The sequence below is a fragment of the Homo sapiens genome, chromosome 2, assembly GCF_000001405.40.
Source record: "Homo sapiens chromosome 2, GRCh38.p14 Primary Assembly".
NCBI lineage: Eukaryota > Metazoa > Chordata > Mammalia > Primates > Hominidae > Homo > Homo sapiens.
The window spans coordinates 60,198,225-60,219,004 of NC_000002.12; the positions used below are offsets into that span (position 1 = coordinate 60,198,225).

Sequence of the window (20,780 nt, forward strand, 5' to 3'; positions counted from 1 at the left end):
GAACACACACCTCATCAAAAAAGATATAACGATTGCAAATAAGCTTATGAAAATATAGTTAATGTCTTATACCATAAGGGAATTACATATTAAAACAACAATGAAATACCACTACCCTCCTATTAGAATGGAAAAAAAAACCTGACAACACCAATGCCAAAAATATAAAGTGACACGAACTCCCATTCATTGCTGATGGGAATGCAAAATGGTACAGCCTCTTTGGAAGACAGTTTTATAGTTTCCCACAAACCTAACCATAGTCGTAACATAACAGCAATCATGCTCCTAGATTGATTTTTCCAACTTATTGGAAAATTTAGGCCTACACCAAAACTTGCACCCAAAAGTGTATAGCAGCTTTATTTGAAAAATAGAAGCAACCAATATGTTCTTGATAGGTGAATGGATAAATTGTGGTACACTCATAAAATGGAATATTATTCATCAATAAAAAGAAATGAGCTATTGAGCCACAAAAAGACATGGATGAACCTTGGATGCATACCGCTAAGTGTAAGAAGCCATGCTAAAAAAGATACATACTGTATAATTCCAATTATATGATATTCTGGAAAAGGCAAATCCATAAGAACAGTAAAAAGATTACTGGTTGCCAGGGGTTCAGAAGGAAAGAAGGCTAAATAAGTGAAGCACAGGGAATCTTTTATGGCCATGAATCTTCACAATACATTCTGTATAATGCAGTAATGATGGATACATGACATTACACATTTGTCAAAATGTACAGAGTTTTACAGAACAAAGAGCAGAATGTAATGTATGTAATTTTTTTTTAAGTCATTTAGTAAATCGGGTGATCTCCTGATTGGTAAATTGGAATCCAGGAATCACTTGATCACCTGGATTCCTAAGTGGAATCAGGTGATCAGGTGATTCTTAAATGGAATAAAGTGATTAGGAATAAGGTGGTCTCCTAAATGGAATACAGACCATGACAAAAAATCTTACTGTATTGCAAATGCATAAAACATTATCATTGAAGGAAAGGGTAGTGACCCAAGTAACTTTAGAAATGAGTGGAGTTTTTAAGGCTGAAGGCAAAAAGAACTATATATAAGCACAGTATTCTTGTTGCTAAAGTTGTTTCCCACAGGGGTTCAACTTAACAATTCTTGCTACGCGTGATTGAACAATTAAGGATGGTGGATGGTGGGAGCTGGATTTCTCACTGTTGGAGTGGGAATGTACAGATAAGCCTAGAATGATCCAAGCAGTAATTGATTAGAGTTGAAATCATCAGTATGAATTCACGTTTAGTTTAATATAGATATAATTATATATAGAAATTGTTATAAATATGTGCACACATATGGATGAGTATACACACATACAGTTCTTTGCTCTGTCATCTGATAGAGGCTAGAATCAACAATATCACAGTTGCAATGAGCACACCTATGACTCAGATCTTGGTTTCCAATACCATTCTCCAATAAAAGGAAACAGAGCTCCTTGGAGAACAGCCTGAATCTAGAAATGGAGCAGGAAATACCCAAGATGATTCTGGAGCATCATGTACTAACAAAAAAGTAAGGAAATACTAAAAAAAAAAAAACAAAACTGGGCGTATGTCAGGGAAACACAGGAGCCAACTGAAAAAGCTCCTAATGGCCAAAGCTAGAACAATTTAAGCAGCAAAATAAATAAAATAAAATAAAATAGTATTGAATAACCCAAAGTGGAAAATAAATATTCATGAGTTCATATTGATATAAATAAATACATGAGATAATATACAATTCTCCCCTGTAGAAGGATTTTAAATTTTATATATACATATATATATATACTCCCTCCTCAATAGGTAGACCATAACTCCTCAGCCCTTCCATGTGGGCTTCACATAGTGACTTCCTTCTAAAGAGTAAAACATGAAAAGGGAAGGGAGAAGTAACTTCACAATGGACAAACTAGACAAACACTATTCCAACCAGGCAATCAAGTCAACATCAACAGCGATAAATCATTCTGACAGTGTGTACCCTTGATATGATGTGATGAAAATGGCAATTTGCCTCCATGGTGTTCTTTCAAGAAACCTGTAACTCCAGTCTAATTATTGTAACAATTGTACCATACTAATGTAAGGTGTTAGTAATAGTGGAAACGAGGTGGGAGATATATGGGAATCTCTCTGTACTATCCTCCCAATTTTTCTGTAAATCTAAAATTATTCTAAAAAATAAAAGCTGTTTTAATAATTAAGCTGTACACTTATGATTGTGCATTTTTCTATATATATGTAATTCTTCACTTTATTATGTTCTGAAAATCAAATAAATTATATGACTTGGTATAAGCTATAACTTTTGCCATAATAGACAAAGGGTTTTTTGTTTGTTTGTTTTTGTTGTTTTTTGTTGTTGTAGTTGTTATACTTTAAGTTCTGGGATATATGTGCAGAACGTGCAGGGGTTCTTTTTTTCTCTTTTTTTCATTTTTTTATTACACTTTAAGTTCTAGGGTATATGTGCACAACGTGCAGGTTTGTTACATATGTATACATGTGCCATGTTGGTGTGCTGCACCCATTAACTCATCATTTACATTAGGTATATCTCCTAATGCTGGAACCAACCCAAGTGTCCATCAATGACAGACTGGATTAAGAAAATGTGGCACATATACACCATGGAATACTATGCAGCCATAAAAAATGATGAGTTCATGTCCTTCGTAGGGACATGGATGAAGCTGGAAACCATGATTCTCAGCAAACTATCTCAAGGACAAAAAGTAGAACATGCAGGTTTGTTGGTGGTTTGCTGCACCTATCAACCCGTCATCCACATTAGGTATTTCTCCTAATGCTATCCCTTCCCTTACCCCCCACCCCCCAACAGGCCCCTATGTGTGATGCTCCCCTCCCTTTGCCCATATGTTCTCATTGTTCAACTCCCAGTTATGAGTGAGAACATGTGGTGTTTGGTTTTCTGTTCCTGTGTTAGTTTGCTGAGAATGATGGTTTCCAGCTTTATCCATGTCCCTGCAAAGGACATGAATTCATTCTTTTTTATGGGTGCATAGTATTCCATGGTGTGTATGTGCCACATTTTCTTTGTCCAGTCTATCATCGATGGGCATGTGGGTTGGTTCCAAGTCTTTGCTATTGTGAGCAGTGCTGCAATAAACATACGTGTGCATGTGTCTTTATAGTAGAATGATTTATAATCCTTTGGGTGTACACCCAGTAATGGGATTGTTGGGTCAAATTGTATTTCTAGTTCTAGATCTTTGAAGAATTACCACACTGTCTTCCACAATGGTAGTACTGATTTACACTCCTCTGATTTTTCCACATACTCTCCAGCATCTGTTGCTTCCTGACTTTTTAATAATCATCATTCTAACTGGCATGAGATGATATCTCATTGCGGTTTTGATTTGCATTGCTCTAATGAGCACTGATAATGACCTTTTTTTCATATGTTTATTGGCCACATAAACGTCTTCTTTTGAAAAGTGTCTGTTCATATCCTTCACCCACTTTTTGGTGGGGTTGTTTGGTTTTGTTCTCATAACTTTGTTTAAGTTCCTTGTAGATTCTGGATATTAGCCCTTTGTCAGATGAATAGATTGCAAAAATTTTCTCCCATTCTGTAGGTTGCCTCTTCACTCTGATGATAGCTTCTTTTGCTGTGCCAAAGCTCTTTAGTTTAATTAGATCCCATTTGTCAATTTTGGCTTCTGTCGAAATTGCTTTTAGTGTTTTAGTCATGAAGTCTTTGCCTATGCCTGTGTCCTGAATGGTATTGCCTAGGATATCTTCTAGGGTTTTTATGGTTTTAGGTATTACTTTTAAGTCTTCAATTCACCTTGAGTTAATTTTTGTATAAGATGTAAGAAAGGGATTCAGTTTCTGTTTTCTGCACATGGCTCAGTTTCTGTTTTCTGCATATGGCTAGCCAGTTTTCCCAGCACCATTTATTAAATAGGGAATTCTTTCCCCATTGCTTATTTTTGTCAGGTTTGTCAAAGATCAGATGGTTGTAGATGCATGGTGTTTTTTCTGATGCCTCTATTCTGTTCCATTGGTAGATATATCTGTTTTGGTACCAGTACCATGCTGTTTTGGTTACTGTAGCCTTGTAGCATAGTTTGAAGTCATGTAGCATGACGCCTCCAGCTTTGTTCTGTTTGCTTAGGATTGTTTTGACTATACAGGCACTTTTTGGTTCCATATGAAATTTAAAGTAGATTTTTCTAATTCTGTGAAGAATTTCAAGGGTATTTAATGGAAATAGGATTGAATCTATAAATTACTTTGGGTAGTATGGCCATTTTCACGATATTGATTCTTCCTATCCATGAGCATGGAATGTTTTTTCATTTGTTTGTGTCCTTTCTTATTTCCCTGAGCAGTGGTTTGTAGTTCTCCTTGAAGAGGTCCTTCACATCCCTTGTAAGCTGTATTCCTAGGTATTTTATTCTCGTTGTAGCAATTGTGAATGGGAGTTTACTCATAATTTGGCTCTCTGTTTGTCTATTATTGGTTTATAGGAATCCCTGTGATTCTTGCACATTGATTTTGTATCCTGAGACTTTGCTGACGTTACTTATTAGCTTAAGAAAATGTGGCACATATACACCATGGAATACTATGCAGCCATAAAAAATGATGAGTTCATGTCCTTTGTAGGGACATGGATGAAATTGGAAACCATCATTCTCAGTAAACTATCGCAAGAACGAAAAACCAAACACCGCATATTCTCACTCACAGGTGGGAATTGAACAATGAGATCGCATGGACACAGGAAGGGGAATATCACACTCTGGGGACTGTGGTGGGGAGGGGGGAGCGGGGAGGGATAGCATTGGGAGATATACCTAATGCTAGATGACGAGTTAGTGGGTGCAGCACACCAGCATGGCACATGTATACATATGTAACTAACCTGCACAATGTGCACATGTACCCTAAAACTTAAAGTATAATTAAAAAAAAAAAAAATTAAAAAAAAAAGGACATTTTGGGCTGAGCTGATGGGGTTTTCTAAATATACAATCATGTCATCTGCAAACAGAGATAATTTGACTTCCTCTCTTCCTATTTGAATACTCTTTATTTTCTTTCTCTTGCCTGATTGCCTTGGCCAGAACTTCCAGTACTACGTTGAATAGGACTGGTCAGAGAGAACATCCTTGTCTTGTGCTGTTTTTCAAAGGGAATGCTTCCAGCTTTTGCCCAGTCAGTATGATATTGGCTGTGGGTTTGTCATAACTAGCTTTTACTATTTTGAGATACATTCCATCAATACCTAGTTTATTGAGTGTTTTTAGCCTGAGGGGATGTTGAATTTTATTGAAGGCTTTTTCTGCCTCTATTGAGATAATCACGGGGTTTTTGTCATTGGTTCTGTTTATGTGATGGATTACATTTATTGATTTGCATATGTTGAACCAGCCTTGCATCCCAGGGATGAAGCTGACTTGATGATGGTGGATAAGCTTTTTAATATGCTGCTAAATTCAGTTTGCCAGTATTTTGTTGAGGATTTACGCATTGATGTTCATCATGGATATGGGCCTGAAATTTTCTTTTTTTGTTGTGTCTCTGCCAGGTTTTGGTATCAGGGTGATTCTGGCCTCATAAAATTAGTTATGGAGGATTCCCTCTTTTTCTATCATTTGAAATAGTTTCAGAAGGAATGGTACCAGCTCCTCTTTGTACCTCTAGTAGAATTCGGCTGTGAATTCGTCTGGTCCTGGGCTTTTTTTGGCTGGTAGGCTATTAATTACTGCCTCAATTTCAGAACTTGTTATTGGTCTATTCAGGGATTTGACTTCTTCCTGGATTAGCCTGGGTAGGGTGTATGTGTTCAGGAATTTATCCATTTCTTCTAGATTTTCTAGTTTATTTGTATAGATGTGTTTATAGTATTCTCTGATGGTAATTTGTATTTCTGTGGGATAAGTGGTGACATCCCCTTTATCATTTTTTATTGTGTCTATTTGATTCTTCCCTTTTTTCTTATTAGTCTGGCTAGTGGTCTATCTATTTTTTTAATCTTTTCATAAAACCACCTCCTGGATTCATTGATTTTTTGAAGGGTTTTTTGTGTCTCTCTCTCCTTGACTTCTGCTCTGATCTTAGTTATTTCTTGCCTTCTGCTAGCTTTTGAATGTGTTTGCTCTTGCATCTCTAGTTCTTTTAATTGTGATGTTAGCATGTCATTTTAGATCTTTCTCACTTTCTCATGTGGGCATTTAGTGCTATAAATTTCCCTCTAATCACTGCTTTAGCTGTGTCACAGAGATTCTGGTATGTTGTGTCTTTGTTCCCATTGGTTTCAAAGAACTTATTTATTTCTGCCTTAATTTCGTTATTTACCCAGTAGTCATTCAAGAGCAAGTTGTTCAGTTTCCATGTAGTTGTGTAGTTTTGAGTGAGTTTCTTAATCCTGAGTTCTAATTTGATTGCACTGTGATCTGAGAGACTGTTTGTTATTATTTCCATTCTTTTACACTTGCTAAGTAGTGTTTTACTTCCAATTATGTGGTTAATTTTAGAATAAGTGCTATGTGGTGCTGAGAAGAATGTATATTCTGTTGATTTGGGGTGGATAATTCTGTAGATGTCTATTAGATCCACTTGGTACAGAGCTGATTTCAAGTCCTGAATATCTTTGTTAATTTTCTGTCTCGTTGATCTGTCTAATATTGACAGTGGGGTGTTAAAATCTCCCACTATTATGGTGTGGAAGTCTAAGTCGCTTTGTAGGTCTCTAAGAACTTTCTTTATGAATCGGGTGCTCCTGTATTGGATGCACGTATATTTAGGATAGTTTGCTCTTCTTCTTGCATTGATCTCCTCACCATTATGTAATACCCTTCTTTGTCATTTTTGATCTTTGTTGGTTTAAAGTCTGTTTTATCAGATACTAGGATTGCAACCCCTGCTTTTTTTTGCTTTCCATTTGCTTGGTAAATATTTGTCCATCCCTTTATTTTGAGCCTATGTGTGTCTTTGCACATGAGATGGGTCTCCTGAATACAGCATGGTGATTGGTCTTGACTCTTTATCTAATTTGCCAGTCTGTGTCTTTTAATTGGGGCATTTAGCCCATTTACATTTAAGGTTAATATTGTTATGTGTGAATTTGATCCTGTCATTACGAGGCTAGCTGGTTATTTTACCCGTTAGTTGATGCAGTTTCTTCATAGTGTCAACAGTCTTTACATTTTGGTATGTTTTTGCAGTGGCTAGTACTGGTTTTGCTTTTCCATATTTAGTCCTTCCTTCAGGAGCCCTTGTAAGGCAGGCCTGGTGGTGACAAAATCCCTCAGCATTTGCTCATGGGTAAAGGATTTCATTTCTCCTTCATTTATGAAGCTTAGTTTGGCTGGATATGAAATTCTGGGTTGAAAATTCTTTTCCTTAAGAATGTTGAATATTGGCCCCCAATCTCTTCTGGCTTATAGGGTTTCTGCAGAGAGATCCACTGTTAGTCTGATGGGCTTTCCTTTGAAGGTAACCTGACCTTTCTCTCTGGCTGCCCTTAACATTTTTTCCTTCATTTCAACCTTGGTGAATCTGACAATTATGTGTTTTGGGGTTGCTCTTCTTGAGAAGTATCTTTGTATTTCTTGAGAAGTGGTGTTCTCTGTATTTCCTGAATTGGAATGTTGGCCTGTCTCACTGCATTGGGGAAGTTCTCCTGGATAATATCCTGAAGTGCATTTTCCAACTTGGTTCCATTCTCCCCATCACTTTCAGGTACACCAATCAAACGTAGGTTTGGTCTTTTCACATAGTCCCGTATTTCTTGGTGGCTTGTTTTTTTCCTTCTCATTCCTTTTTCTCTAATCTTGTCTTCATGCTTTATTTCATTAAGTTGATCTTCAATCTCTGATATCCTTTCTTCTGCTTGATCGATTCAGCTATCGATACTTGTGTATGCTTCACGAAGTTCTTGTGCTGTGTTTTTCAGCTCCGTCAGGTCATTTATGTTCTTCTTTAACCTGGTTATTCTAGTTAACACTTTCTGTAACCTTTTATCAAGGTTCTTAGCTTTTAGAACATGCTCCTTTAGCTCAGAGGAGTTTGTTATTTCCCACCTTCTGAAGCCTATTTCTGTCAATTCATCGAACTCATTCTCTGTCCAGTTTTGTTCCCTTGCTGGCAAGGAGTTGTGATCCTTTGGAGGAGAAGAGGCATTCGGGTTTTTGGAATTTTCAGCCTTTTTGTGCTGGTTTTTCCTCATCTTCGAGGATTTATCAATTTTAGTCTTTGATGCTGGTGACCTTCGAATGGGGTTTTTGCATGGGCATCCTTTTCGTTGATGTCGATGCTATTGCTTTCTGTTTGTTAGTATTCCTTCTAAAAGTCAGGACCTTCTTCTGCAGGTCTGCTGGAGTTTGCTGGAGGTCCACTCCAGACCCTCTTTGCCTGGGTATCACCAGCAGAGGCTGCAGAATGGCAAAGATTGCTGCCTGCTCCTTCCTCTGGAAGCTTCATCCCAGAGGGGCATCTGCAAGATACCAGCTGGAGCTGTCCTGTATGAGGTGTCTGTCTACCCCTGCTGAGTGGTGTCTCCCCATCAGGAGGCATGGGGATCAGGGACCCGCTTGAGGAGGCAGTCTGTCCCTTAGTATAGCTTGAGCACTGTGCTGGGAGATCTGCTGATCTCTTCAGAGCCAGCAGGCAGGAACGTTTAAGTCTGCTGAAGCTGCACCCACAGCTGCCCCTTCCCCCAGGTGCTCTGTCCCAGGAAGATGGGAGCTTTATCTATAAGCCCCTGACTGGGGCTGCCACCTTTCTTTCAGTGATGCCTTGCCTAAAAAGGAGGAATCTAGAGAGGCAGTCTGGCTACAGTGGCTTTGCTGAACTGCAGTGGATTCTGCACAGTTCAAACTTCCTGGCAGCTTTGTTTACACTGTAGAGGGAAAACCACCTAGTCAATCCTCAGTAATGGTGGACTCCCAAACCCCCAACAAGCTCGAGCATCCCAGGTTGACTTCAGGCTGCTGTGCTGGCAGCGAGAATTTCAAGCCAGTGAATCTTAGCTTTCTGGACTCCATGGGGTGGGATCCGCTAAGCAAGACCACTTGGCTCCCTGGCTTCAGTCCCCTTTCCAGGGGAGTGAATGGTTCTGTCTTGCTGGTGTTCCAGGTGCCACTGGGGTAAGAAAAAAACTCCTGCAGCTAACTCAGTGTCTGCCCAAACAGCCGCCCAGTTTTGTGCTTGAAACCCAGGCACCCAAGGGAATCTCCTGGTCTGCGGGTTGCAAAGACCATGGGAAAAGTGTAGTATCTGGGCTGGATAGCTCTGTTCCTCACAGCACAGTCCCTCACTGCTTCCCTTGGCTAGGGGATGGAGTTCCCCAACCCCTTGCACTTCCCGGGTGAGGCAACACCCCACCCTGCTTCTGCTCTCCCTCCATGGGCTGTACCTGCTGTCTAACCAGTCCCAGTGGGATGAACCAGGTACCTCAGTTGGAAATGCAGAAATCACCTGCCTTCTGCATTGATCTTGCTGGGAGCTGCAGACCAGAGCTACTCCTATTTGGCCATCTTGCCCGGGAATCCCCAGGTTTCATTTTTAAGCAGTTCAAAATTATTCTTATGTTTGCCTGTCTTGAAGGTGATAATTAAGATAACCCTTTTATTTACACATTTATTTATCTCATGTTACAGGTGAGGGCTCCTATAATTCATTAGTTCTAAAAAAAAAAGTTTATTCATTTTGGTAGTAATGGTTAGAGGGCAAAATGAAACATTGGACAAAATAAATATTAAGGCAATAGGCTGCCAGCAGTATCCTAAAATACCCAGGTACAATCAGTGACAATGGCTGCAAGCTTAGCTGGCCTTAGATGATCTTTCTTCTTTCTTTTTTTTTTTTTTTTTTTGGTTAAGTATTTTATGCCACATTTTCTCTCTTTGTTTTTCAGCATTTTCTCCAATATAGATCCATATTATTTTATGTCTTATAATTGCTTTTTTTTCCCCTGAGTTCTTCTCCCTTTTTCTCCAACCTACTGACTCCCAAGTGTGAGCTGCATACAACATAAGAATCTCATTTCCCTATATTGCTAAGACTGGGGTGCTCCGATGTCATTGCTTGCTTTTGATGTACAGGGCTGGTAGGCCCATGAAAAGGCCAACCTGCCTCTGTCTCCACTGCTCTTTCCCTCATGCCCACCAGTCAACCACTGCCCCATGGAAGCCAGCAGGAAGATCCTGTCTGGCTTCTGTTTCTCTGGAGAAATAGGAAGTGGGATGTCTGTGGCCTGAAGTAGGCTTGGCATGAAATCCTGAAATTACCCTGCCTCCTTCCTGTGACAGAATCTATCTTAGCCTGCAGGGTCCTGGGTTTTGATTGAGCTCCAAAAAGTGTAGAAGAAAAGTAGTACTGAGCGCAGCCGAGAAACCGTTATCACTTTGTTGAGGAGCTAAAATACTTCAAGGCCCATATTCAATAATTGTTGAATGGATAACCCTATGAATTTAGAAGGCATTGCTTAGGCATCATTGTAATGTTTCACTGATGTGTAATTTGTATAAATCCCTAGGATAATAGTATTTTCAAGCTACAGAAAGGCCTAGGAGAAAAATCTTCTCATCTAAGCCTTTTATTTTCTAAATGAAGAAACTAGCTCAAAGAGGTTACTTAACTTTCCTAAGGTCATACTACTACTGGTTGATCCTTCAACCAGAACCCCTTTTATTATTACCAGCTTTCTAACTAAATACATGATGTAGTGGTATAATAATATGTACTGAAGACAAATATGGTGCCCATTTGTTAGTATGAACCCTAGTTAATCCCTGGGTCCCATATCTCTCGAGGCATTGTTTATAACTAGACTCTCTCATGCTCTCATTGCCATTTCCTTTTTGCACATTGTATGAGTATATTTATGTTTGTGTGTCTTCCCTCTCCCTACCCATTTAGCCTCAATTAATGCAATGGCATTGCAGATTTAAAGACCCAATCTTGCTGACCACTACACTCTACCCCCAGAAACAGGGCATCTTAAACTACCCTATGGCTTAAGAAGAGCACTTCTTCCAAATGAAAACAGCAAACCTGTATTTGATCTTTCAAAATCAGACTTTTTTTTGGATCAGTGCTTAATTGGCAACATAATTAATTCAATTAACAATCAATTCAATTGATACAAAGAGAAACCCAACTTTGGCAGAAATCTGAGTTTCAGGCTTGGTGCTTTCCTATGTAAGTTCATTGCCATTGCCTCAAACATAAATTATATGGCTAGCTATTCCCAATGCAGTCGTCATCCAAGGATTTAATTTTTGATCATGTCTTAAGCTTTAGAATACATTTGTAAACTGCCCCTCTATGGAAAACAGATGCTTCATAAAAACAGCACTTACACTTTGGTATGTTCAGTGGAAGCAGGACAGGATATTCCACGAGTCCAATCAGACCATGGCATACAACTACATACTCAGACTAAGCTCTTAGTCCTAGTTCCCAAGAGTAGAAACAGTTTTAAGTGATTACAGAATTCTGCTATGATCAAAATTCTTTGTTCACTGGATTTGGCTAATAAAAAGTTCCTTGTTTTAGCCTTCAAAGGTTATTTTTAAAATGCAAGGCAACCTCTATCACTGTCAGCCAGGAATCCGTTAGCTGTAATTAGCTTATCAACACTGGGTCAGCTATGTTTTTATGGGAACAAAGATTTCATGGTCTGGAACAGAAAGCAATGGCAAAGTAGGTCCTGGAAAGCCAAGGGCCAGCAAAAGTGTACAAGAGAAACCCAATCAGCATTCTAAATAATCGATTTACAGGCCTTTTGATAAAACATGCAGTATGAAGATAGTTGATTGCTTTGTTAATAGTCTATGCTTAATTAATATTAGTTAGAGTGAGTTGAGAGATATTTTTCTTGGCTTCAAAGAGTTTCCCATTGCTGGAAGTATACATGCATAGGTTAGATGGTCACGTTGAGGGGGTCAGTAGTCTAGTGCAAGTAATGACACACTAGCAGCACATGAAATTAACATGGCATCATAGTATTACAGAATTGAATGGAATGGAAAATGTCACCATGTATTACATGCAGTAAGGATAAATATTCTTTTATGAAACTTTCGTTTCATTTGTCTCTGTGTACACATGTACCTAAGCATAACACGGCCATTGTGGCAAGAAAAGTAAATCACTGGTTTAGATGACTTCCAGAAACTATTCTATTTATTCATCTTGCCTCTCCATTATATTTTATCCATTGCGCCACTGGCCCCGAGCTCGTAAGCCTACTCTCCATTATATTTTACACCACCTCATTCATAGTAGGTGCTCAAGAACAATTATCCATAAAATCAAGTAGAAATAATAGAACCTTGGAGTCTCAACAACTCTGCAAGGTAGATATTCTGACCTTGGTTTTACAGAAGATTAGATTAAGTCACTTGCCTACATTAAATGACTTGTTCAAGGCCACCTAGCTGATAAGCTCCTGTGCCAATATTTGAATCTAGTCAGAACAGGGCTCTACAAGACGAGATATGAGTGATACTCCCTAATACTCTTCAGAAGCTAAATGATGAAATAGCAGAAATGAAAAGTAAAAATTTGCCAAAAATGTTTAGCCAATGGAAATTCAATTATTGTGACCACTTTAGAAATGGCAATGTTTTCAACTTGTGAATTCCTATTATTAAGATAAACAAAACTCTGAATCATATAATCTATAGTGACATTACCCAAATGTTAGTCCGTAGATTGTCTACATCATAATCACTGGAGGAGCTTTAAAAAATACATATTCCCAAGCTTCGCTCCTAGAGAATCTGAGTGAAAATGTACATTTAGAAAGCCTCCAGTGGTTATGCACAGACAGGTTTGAGAACCACTAGACCTAGTCACATTCCTAGGTTTAAGAACTTTTTAACTGAAGGAAATGTTGGAAGACATCTAGCCCCTTGGTGGCAATAGATTTCATCTTGAGGGCCAAAGGCAAACAATAAATAATGGCTGCTCAGAAAATCAGCACAGACAGATTCCAAAACAGCGCCTAGGCCCAAGAGTAACAGATGATGTCCGACATGGATAAGGAGGTAGAAAGAGTCTCACTATGGTCCAAGCCCTTTATTTTCCAGCCCTGTATGCCCAAAAACATATATTTCAGTGACATGGGAATAAAACCCAGGCTTCCTCACTCCTAGTTTGGTGCTTTATTTATAACAATTTCCATTATTCATAATAAGGCTTATCAGAAATGCTGGTTTCTAGAGTGCTTCTTGCTGGTATATGGCAGAAAAAGTCAACATTTACTTTATTTCAAAGATTAAGGCAAATCTGCCCTAATTGCTCCTACTCATCAATGCCTTGGCCACTTTAAAAGGCAAGTTGATTATTTTATTCCATTATTATCCATAAAATTTTAAAAACTGAGATCCCTTGAGAATTAAATATAGAAAAGTATGTGTTTTATTTTAAAAGTCCTACCACAGTTTCTGGCTTGAGTTTAAATTCATACTAAAGAATATATGACTGATATAAGATCTTTTCTTAAGAACAGCTTTGATGAAAGTGTATAGCATGAAGAAAGAATGACCGGTACCTGAGAAGAAGAGGAAACATCAGTGAGGGAAGGGAAAGGCACAAGAGAGGGTGCTTGCGGTATGAAGGGAACCTGTCCACTTCACAATTGTGCTAAAATATCTATGATATGGTGAAGAAAAGTCAGAGAATGTGTCCTCTTCCATCTGGAGCTTTAGGCACTTTGCTTCTTTAGCATCAACATCCTCATCAGTAAAACATGGGTAATAACTCTTACCCCTCAGGGTTGTTCTCAGAATTCATCAAGAAAAACCTTAAGCTGCAGAAAGAGCCCAGTGCAGCTCCTAGCATATACAATTCCCCAGTAAATGTTTATTTAATCGATATGCCAGGTATGGGCAGAAAACTTTGTATATACTGAAAAACCTCTCCATGAAAATTAGCATCAAGATCTGTTTAACCCAGGGCCCTATCTGAGATGAGACCCCTGAGTCACCCAAGACAACACCCAAAGGGAGCGAACACAGGAGGTAACATTGTGTTATAGGCCCCAGAAGACAGGGCTAATCAGAGTATAGTACCCAGAGATGGGAAGGGCCTGGGAGACCAGTTTTACAGACAAGGAAACTCTAAACCACCCATGATCAGGAAGCATGACCCCTTGCCTTGTCCCAGCTTCTGTAAGCAGTGTCTGGGTGGCACCTTGGGAAAACATGTATTTCTGGCCCTGGAAGCCTCCATTTGTGGATTAAACACAAGGTTTTATAGGGAACTAAACATTTTGACTTCATTCCTTCTCCAGCATGTCTGCCAAATATTTCCAATAGGTACTTTTGAACAACACCTATTCTGAGGTGATATGGGTAAATTGCAAAAACATTAATTTACTATTAACATAATTACAGGGTTTTTTCTCCTCTCTAGATTTTGTTTAGTGCTTGGGGCCAAATCCCTTTCACTCTCACAATACCTTCTTTGTTTTAAAAAGGAGATACTACAGTGTCTGGTTGGTGGGGGGAAAGTGCCCTTTGAAATTTCCTGTTATCACAGTCATAAGCTGTCTCTAATCAGAAGCAGCGCAATAAATAGACACAAGGCTCCCTTAAAATGCCTACAGTCTGCTAAGAATTAAATGTCTTCCTTTGCGTGTCTCCTCAAAATATATTTTTAAATAGTTGCTCAGTCCTAAGCTTTCCCTAATAAGGTTTCATTTAAATAAATTTGGAAATATTTTCCTTCTTCTAGAGAAAGCCACTCTATTTGGAAATGTCAGATAAAAATACATGTACGTTATAAGGCTATCACCTATTTTCAGCGATGTTTTTTCAAGCTCTCGCTTTTCCTTTCTTTCTTTCTTTTTCCTCCTTCTGTTTGCTGTTCCCAGTAGCTTCTGGGAGCTTCCTCACCCAAGAGGACCAGGCTCATCAGATCACAAACAATTGCATCTGTTTTCCTGGCTGTAGCCATTATATGAACAAAACTGGCCCCCATTGTCCCATATAGCCCTCCTGAGTCGCCCTAGCTCTCCAAACTCCAGCCAGGGCCATGTGACTATATTGAAACCAACTTGCCCTTAACTTTGGAAAATTAGCCACTCTCCTCCTTGCTGTGCCATGTCAAAATTGAAGAGTAAACAGAGGTCCCCCCAATCCCCCTGATTGCATTAATCATTCAAATGACGTATTAGCATTCTTCAGACTCTTCTGTTGTGCTTCTAAATTAACACCTCCAGGTTCAAGGGAATAGAAATTAACTGAATTATCTGGCAGCCCCAGATGTCCTAGCATGCTCTTCCTTCTTGCTGATTTAATATGCCTGAAGAACAGTTATGAGGCAGAAACACCGCTAATGGTCAAGAAATAATTTATGACATGTGTAACCAATAGCCTTAGCCCTCCTCCCACATTCCAAAGTTGTCCAGATTCCAGGTGAACCCTGGTTACCATGGGGACCCCATTGCCATTGGGCATGGCCACCTTACTAAAGCTAGGAGTCCAACTGCCCAGGACCAGCTGCATAGACCCCAGAAGCAGAGCTCCAGAGCTGGCCTGAGGGGTCTGTCCCAGAGAGCAAGAGAGGGTGTGAGAGGAGAGCCTGTGGGATCCAAAAAGGGGCCTCTCTGGTACTTCCCAGCTCTGGCCATGAGCAACCTTCTTGTCGAGGCATGAAAAGGATCAGCGATTGATTCCACAGAGCTGTGGAAGGGCTTTTTAGAACATTGATGTAATCCTTCACAACAGAAGCCAGTTTCCCTTGGGGGTTAATCCTGTCATTTGGGAGTGTCTCCAGGGCATTAAGCCATAATTGCTTGCGTAACTCCGAGAGGCAAACAGGAAGCTGGAGCACACATTCATTCAGAAGCTTCCTAGAGCAGGCAGGTCCCGTCCTTGGCATTGCAGCTCCTTCCAGACCAAAGCGCCATGGCCCATCCATTCTGAAGGGTGTCCCCCAAAAAGAAGGAAGCCTGAGAGCCCACAAAGGAATCTCACCCCTATCCTGGCTCCCAGCTGCCTGGCTGTCCCCAAGCTAGGAGTAGGGAGATGAGGATCAGGGGAGGGTCAACACGAGGCGTCACCTGCACCGAGGGGCCTCACAATAACAGGCAGAAATGCAAACGCTTTCGCCATGCCTTGGTGGGAACTGAAACATCAGATGTTTATTAAATGCCATAGCGGTGGCGACTACTTTGCACAGTGAGCCCAGAAGTGTATGCTGTCACTTTAAAAAAAATTGAGCCGATGCCAGGCTAGTCATGGTAATGCTCCCATGGCATGATTAGATTCATGCCCAGGGTTGTATTTGCATATGATATTCAGGGCATGATTTTTTTATTGTTCTTAATCAGAGCCGAATGTCAACAAAATAAATGAAGTTGCGAGTTGAAGTGAAATTTTTATCACATCAGGGATGTGCTTTTTCTCCCATTTATCACAGCCCATATTGAGAGAGTGAAATTTTTTGAAAATGTGGTAATCAATGGAAGAGCTCCATATGGCAGGGATCAAAGGTGTTACATAGTGTGTGGTTCTGCTTTATTGCCAGCCAGTACTGTTAATTGGACAACAAGATCAGAGGCAATATTAAAATCCAATTAAATTGATATGAACAGATTGCCAAGTGATGTACACTAATGTATAATTGAGTATCAAGCGAATGCAAGTCCCCGTCTTCTGCTTCTACCTCCTGAATAAATGATGGCGCCATAGAGGACAGAAACAAGTTTGCACATTAGCTGCACAGCTCTGGGCTCTCATTTGTTACTTTCAGAGTTGATGACTTTTGGTTTTCCTCCTAGTCTGTCTTAAAGAGACAGGCCCATTCCCTGTCCCCCAAGCCCCCACCCTTTACCCCCCACCTGGGGTGGGTTTTCTTCCCCGAAATCATTTTCCCCTTTCGGGGCCTGGAAATGAAACCCATGTTTCATATGCTTCATTACATGTCTATTATATAGCAGGTCTTAAAGAGCAGTGCATTGATAATATATTGTGCTAGTTGTAAATGATCTGTCCATCTGGAGCGGCACGCTAACACATTTCTAATGCCGTTTCCCAGATATAAATTATAGCAGAATGTTTCTCAAGCTGAAAGGAAAGAGAAAGCAAGCAAGCAAAGCCCTGAATGAACACTGTCAGAATACCTCGGCACACAAAGGAGGGCCGGAGCCGCAGGTGAAAGAGTTGTCTGGGATGTGGATCCCCGGAGTGGATCCTGTGGCCCAAGCTCCTGACTGGTTACCAGCAGGAGCTGAAGTGGGCCTCCATTCATTCGTCTCCAAACAAGGCCGGGAAGGGACAGATCGAGAGGAAAGCAGGCCCTCCCACTCAATTAGAGCAATTAGCTCACAGGCCGTACAGGGGCCAGGCCTGGCTGAATGGGATCCCCCAGCCCCACCGTTTGTTATCCGAGCTGAGCTCACACAAATTAATGAGGAGAGGGAATGAGGAAAGCCAAGGGCTGTTGCTGGCAAACACTCTGGGGGCCTCGTCCCTTCCTCCTGCAAGAACAGCCCCAGATTACCCCCAACAATAAAACCTGTTAACTTATACAACTTTGCTTAAGAAACAAGCCTGATGGGACGTTGGCAGACTTCCCTGCTGCCAACCGAGAACTATTGCGGGCAGCCGCGGGCTTCTCAGGACTTAAGCGCATGATGGAATGGTAAACGAGGGAGCAGACTGTTTATTCCAGCAGCCAGATTGTTTCTGGCCATAAAGTTCTGTGTTTGGAAAGTTGTTTTTTTTTTTCTCCCCGGTATATTACCAAAAAAAAAAAGGGGGGGAGAAGAGGGTGGAGAAAGAGGTACTGAGCAAAGATTATGTTTTATTTTTTATTCAAGCTGTTCCAAAAAAAGCATCGACCTTCCTGGGTTTAAATGGACTCTGCTAATAAATACATAAGCCCATTTCAGTATTGCAGAAAAGGGAAAGGAAGAAGGAAGCGAGTCCAAGCTGGAGCAAGGAGGAGCGGTGTTATTAAAACAAATTCTAAGGAATGAGGTTTCAACTAGTTTGGAATTTGAGTTGCAAAATTAGGCACATTTCAAGTTTTGATCAAATATTTATGTTTCTTTACAAATAGGTACACACTTTAAGAGATTAGATTTTATTCGTGGGCCTTAAAAAAACTGAGATGATATCTACACTCATAAACCAGTTTCAATTGTATTTTTTGGCTTATATTAGTCAAAACAAGTGGCAGATTCCTGGTCAGTAGCTACTTACTAAGCAACTGATAAATCAAAATGATGTTTTGCTTTCTTTTCCCCAAACCCTCCTGACTTAGGTCCAAACAGCCTCATATTTGCAGTTCACCTTGAAAGTGGAGCAAAGAGAAACTCCAAGTGGAGGCAGACCTACCACACACCTAGCAACACCGTTGAAACCTGGGATTCTGCCCCCACAAACCACAACAGATAAAGCCGGTGAAGGCTGGCGTCCTATTAAGTGAGGAAAGCAAGACCAGACTGTCTTTTGCCTAGAGCAGAAGTGTGCTTTTTAATAAGGCAGGCAGCTCAGGGCTGTAACTCCTCTCTGTAGCAAGAGTTTCCCCACAGGTAACAGAAGGATGGGCTCTCTAGCATGGTACTCAAGGTCTCTTGGAATTAGGGTGGAGCAGTTTCTAGAAGCTGCTGTTTTACCTGAATTTCATGGTGCCTACTTGCGCATACTGTGAGCACTGGGTTGCCAAAAGCAGCTCTAAGATGGGAGGAAGCAAGGAAAGACCCTGAAATATCTTTTTTTTTTTTTTTCACATTATGGATGGATGTGTAGCATGAGAATAAAGTCACAGATGTTTGGGGTAGTTTGTTACTTCAGCATAACCTAATCCCCCGACAGATACAATGAACTTAATATTTTAGCAAAATAAATTGAGTAGTCTGCAACAAACAAAAAGTACGTTGTTTATCTTGAAACAACGTCAGCCTCACTTGGTAACAGTGCCCCAATATTTCTGGACCTGTTCTGGTGCTCAAAATGTGGAAAATCAAAACATCTGAAGAACTGGGTGATACTGATCAGAACAGCTCCTACAGTAGAACTGCTCTTGGTGCCCATCACTGTGCAGTGCATTTCAGAACCTTTCTTCTTTCACTCATCACAACCTGCAAAGTAAGAGACATTATGCTCGTATTTTCAGAGGAAGCAACTGAATCTCAGAGACGTTAAGTAACTTTCCAGAAGTCACACAGGGAACGAGACAAAACTGAAATTTAAATACAGACCTACCTAAATTTAATCTATATTTTTTTCTTACTTTTGTCCTACACAATCCAGCCTCCCACAGTTGCTTCATAGAAAAGATCAGTCATTCCAAAGTCTATTTAAACTATAAACTTGAACCCATCACCACATGGAGACCTGGATTCAAGATGCTTAAAGAAATGACAGTTATTCCTGAAAAGACCAAGGAGAGTCTCATAGGTGGTTCTGAAGGCAATGCATTAGGAATCTGGGGCCCTGGGTGTCAGGATTTTTGCTAACACATATTATGGCTGTGAGTAAGTCACTTCCACTCTATGTTCTACTTCCTCTAGAAACAGTGGCACCAGCAACCTACCTGTTCTCTTAAATGCAGATTTGTTTTAAACACTGAAATCACTTTAAATTCTTCAGGGAAGAAAACAATCTAACCAAATCACCATTATTATCATATATCTATGTTGTAATGATCAGGACCATTCTCATTCATTCTGATTTTCTTCCTTCCAGGAAACATGAAAGGATTTGAAATTAAGTGTGGCCATGTATTTTTGGACAACACAGAAAGTGGTTAAGTGTCTCTCCCGATAGAACTTTTTTTTTTTTTTTTTTTTTTTGAGATGGAGTTTCGCTCTTATTGCCCAGGCTGGAGTGCAGTGGTGTGATCTCTGCTCACCACAACCTCCGCCTCCCAGGTTCAAGTGATTCTCCTGCCTCAGCCTCCCAAGCAGGCATGTGCCACTACGCCTGGCTAATTTTGTATTTTTAGTAGAGACAGGATTTCTCCATGTTGGTCAGGCTGGTCTCGAACTCCCAACCTCAGGTGTTCTGCCTGCCTTGGCCTGCCAAAGTGCTGGGATTACAGGTGTGAGCCACAGTGCCCAGCCCTGATAGGAGATTTAAGAGCCAGCATGCTTCATTACACACTTTCCCCTTATGGCAATGATATGGGAGAACATATTGAAATTGAGCCTCCATCAGCTTAAATCCTTGTGTGACTATAATGAGCAGGGCCTCTCTGCGACCCATGATGGATATATAACATGACAGTAAAGTCAGAGATGTTCAGGGTACTTTGTTACTGCAGCATAACTTAGTCCCCCTGACAGATACAAATCCCACAGAGAGTATCAACAGGAGAAAGCAGGCTAGAAAGTAAAGGCATTGAATGAAGAAAATCCAGTCTTTTAAGAAATATTTATTAAGCACCTATTTTTATCACTGGGTGTGCTAGTGTGCTAGAGATACAGTATTCTTCCTAAATTGGGAAATCCAAAAGAGCATTCTGTATAGAAAAATACATGCATATGTATGTATTATTATAGATATGTTTATTACGTATTATGTGATTTGAAATTGGAAAAGTATTTGCCTTCGACAGATATTTTTATTATCAAAATCTATTTGTAGTCTACAGAAAAAAAAAAAAATTCCCCCCAAAAGCATCCACAAATCTACCTCTCAAGTGAATCTGCTTAGTTGGTTCCTTCTCTTTGATTCTCTGTGGTTATTCATTTGTAGATGTATGGCTAACTACACCTAAAAGAGAGAAGACTGTAACCTAGGTGTATTAAAAC

General features: G+C 40.1%; 5 annotated features.

Annotated features, from left to right (window-relative positions):
- Positions 8,564 to 8,772: a silencer, noted in NCBI's record as "fragment chr2:60433923-60434131 (GRCh37/hg19 assembly coordinates)". NCBI's record gives its function as "represses an EF-1alpha promoter that drives an FKBP-Casp9 reporter gene in an ReSE screen in K562 erythroleukemia cells {active_cell/tissue: K562}" and the evidence as "EXISTENCE:reporter gene assay evidence [ECO:0000049][PMID:32094911]".
- Positions 16,136 to 17,156: an enhancer, noted in NCBI's record as "VISTA enhancer hs399". NCBI's record gives its function as "enhancer in: forebrain[5/7]" and the evidence as "EXISTENCE:transgenic organism evidence [ECO:0001131][PMID:17130149]".
- Positions 16,136 to 17,315: a biological region, named in NCBI's record as "VISTA enhancer hs399".
- Positions 16,815 to 17,315: an enhancer, noted in NCBI's record as "NANOG-H3K4me1 hESC enhancer chr2:60442174-60442674 (GRCh37/hg19 assembly coordinates)". NCBI's record gives its function as "activates a minimal SCP1, AML or CMV promoter by ChIP-STARR-seq in naive H9 embryonic stem cells {active_cell/tissue: H9 hESC(naive)}" and the evidence as "EXISTENCE:reporter gene assay evidence [ECO:0000049][PMID:30033119]".
- Positions 17,316 to 17,816: an enhancer, noted in NCBI's record as "NANOG-H3K4me1 hESC enhancer chr2:60442675-60443175 (GRCh37/hg19 assembly coordinates)". NCBI's record gives its function as "activates a minimal SCP1, AML or CMV promoter by ChIP-STARR-seq in naive H9 embryonic stem cells {active_cell/tissue: H9 hESC(naive)}" and the evidence as "EXISTENCE:reporter gene assay evidence [ECO:0000049][PMID:30033119]".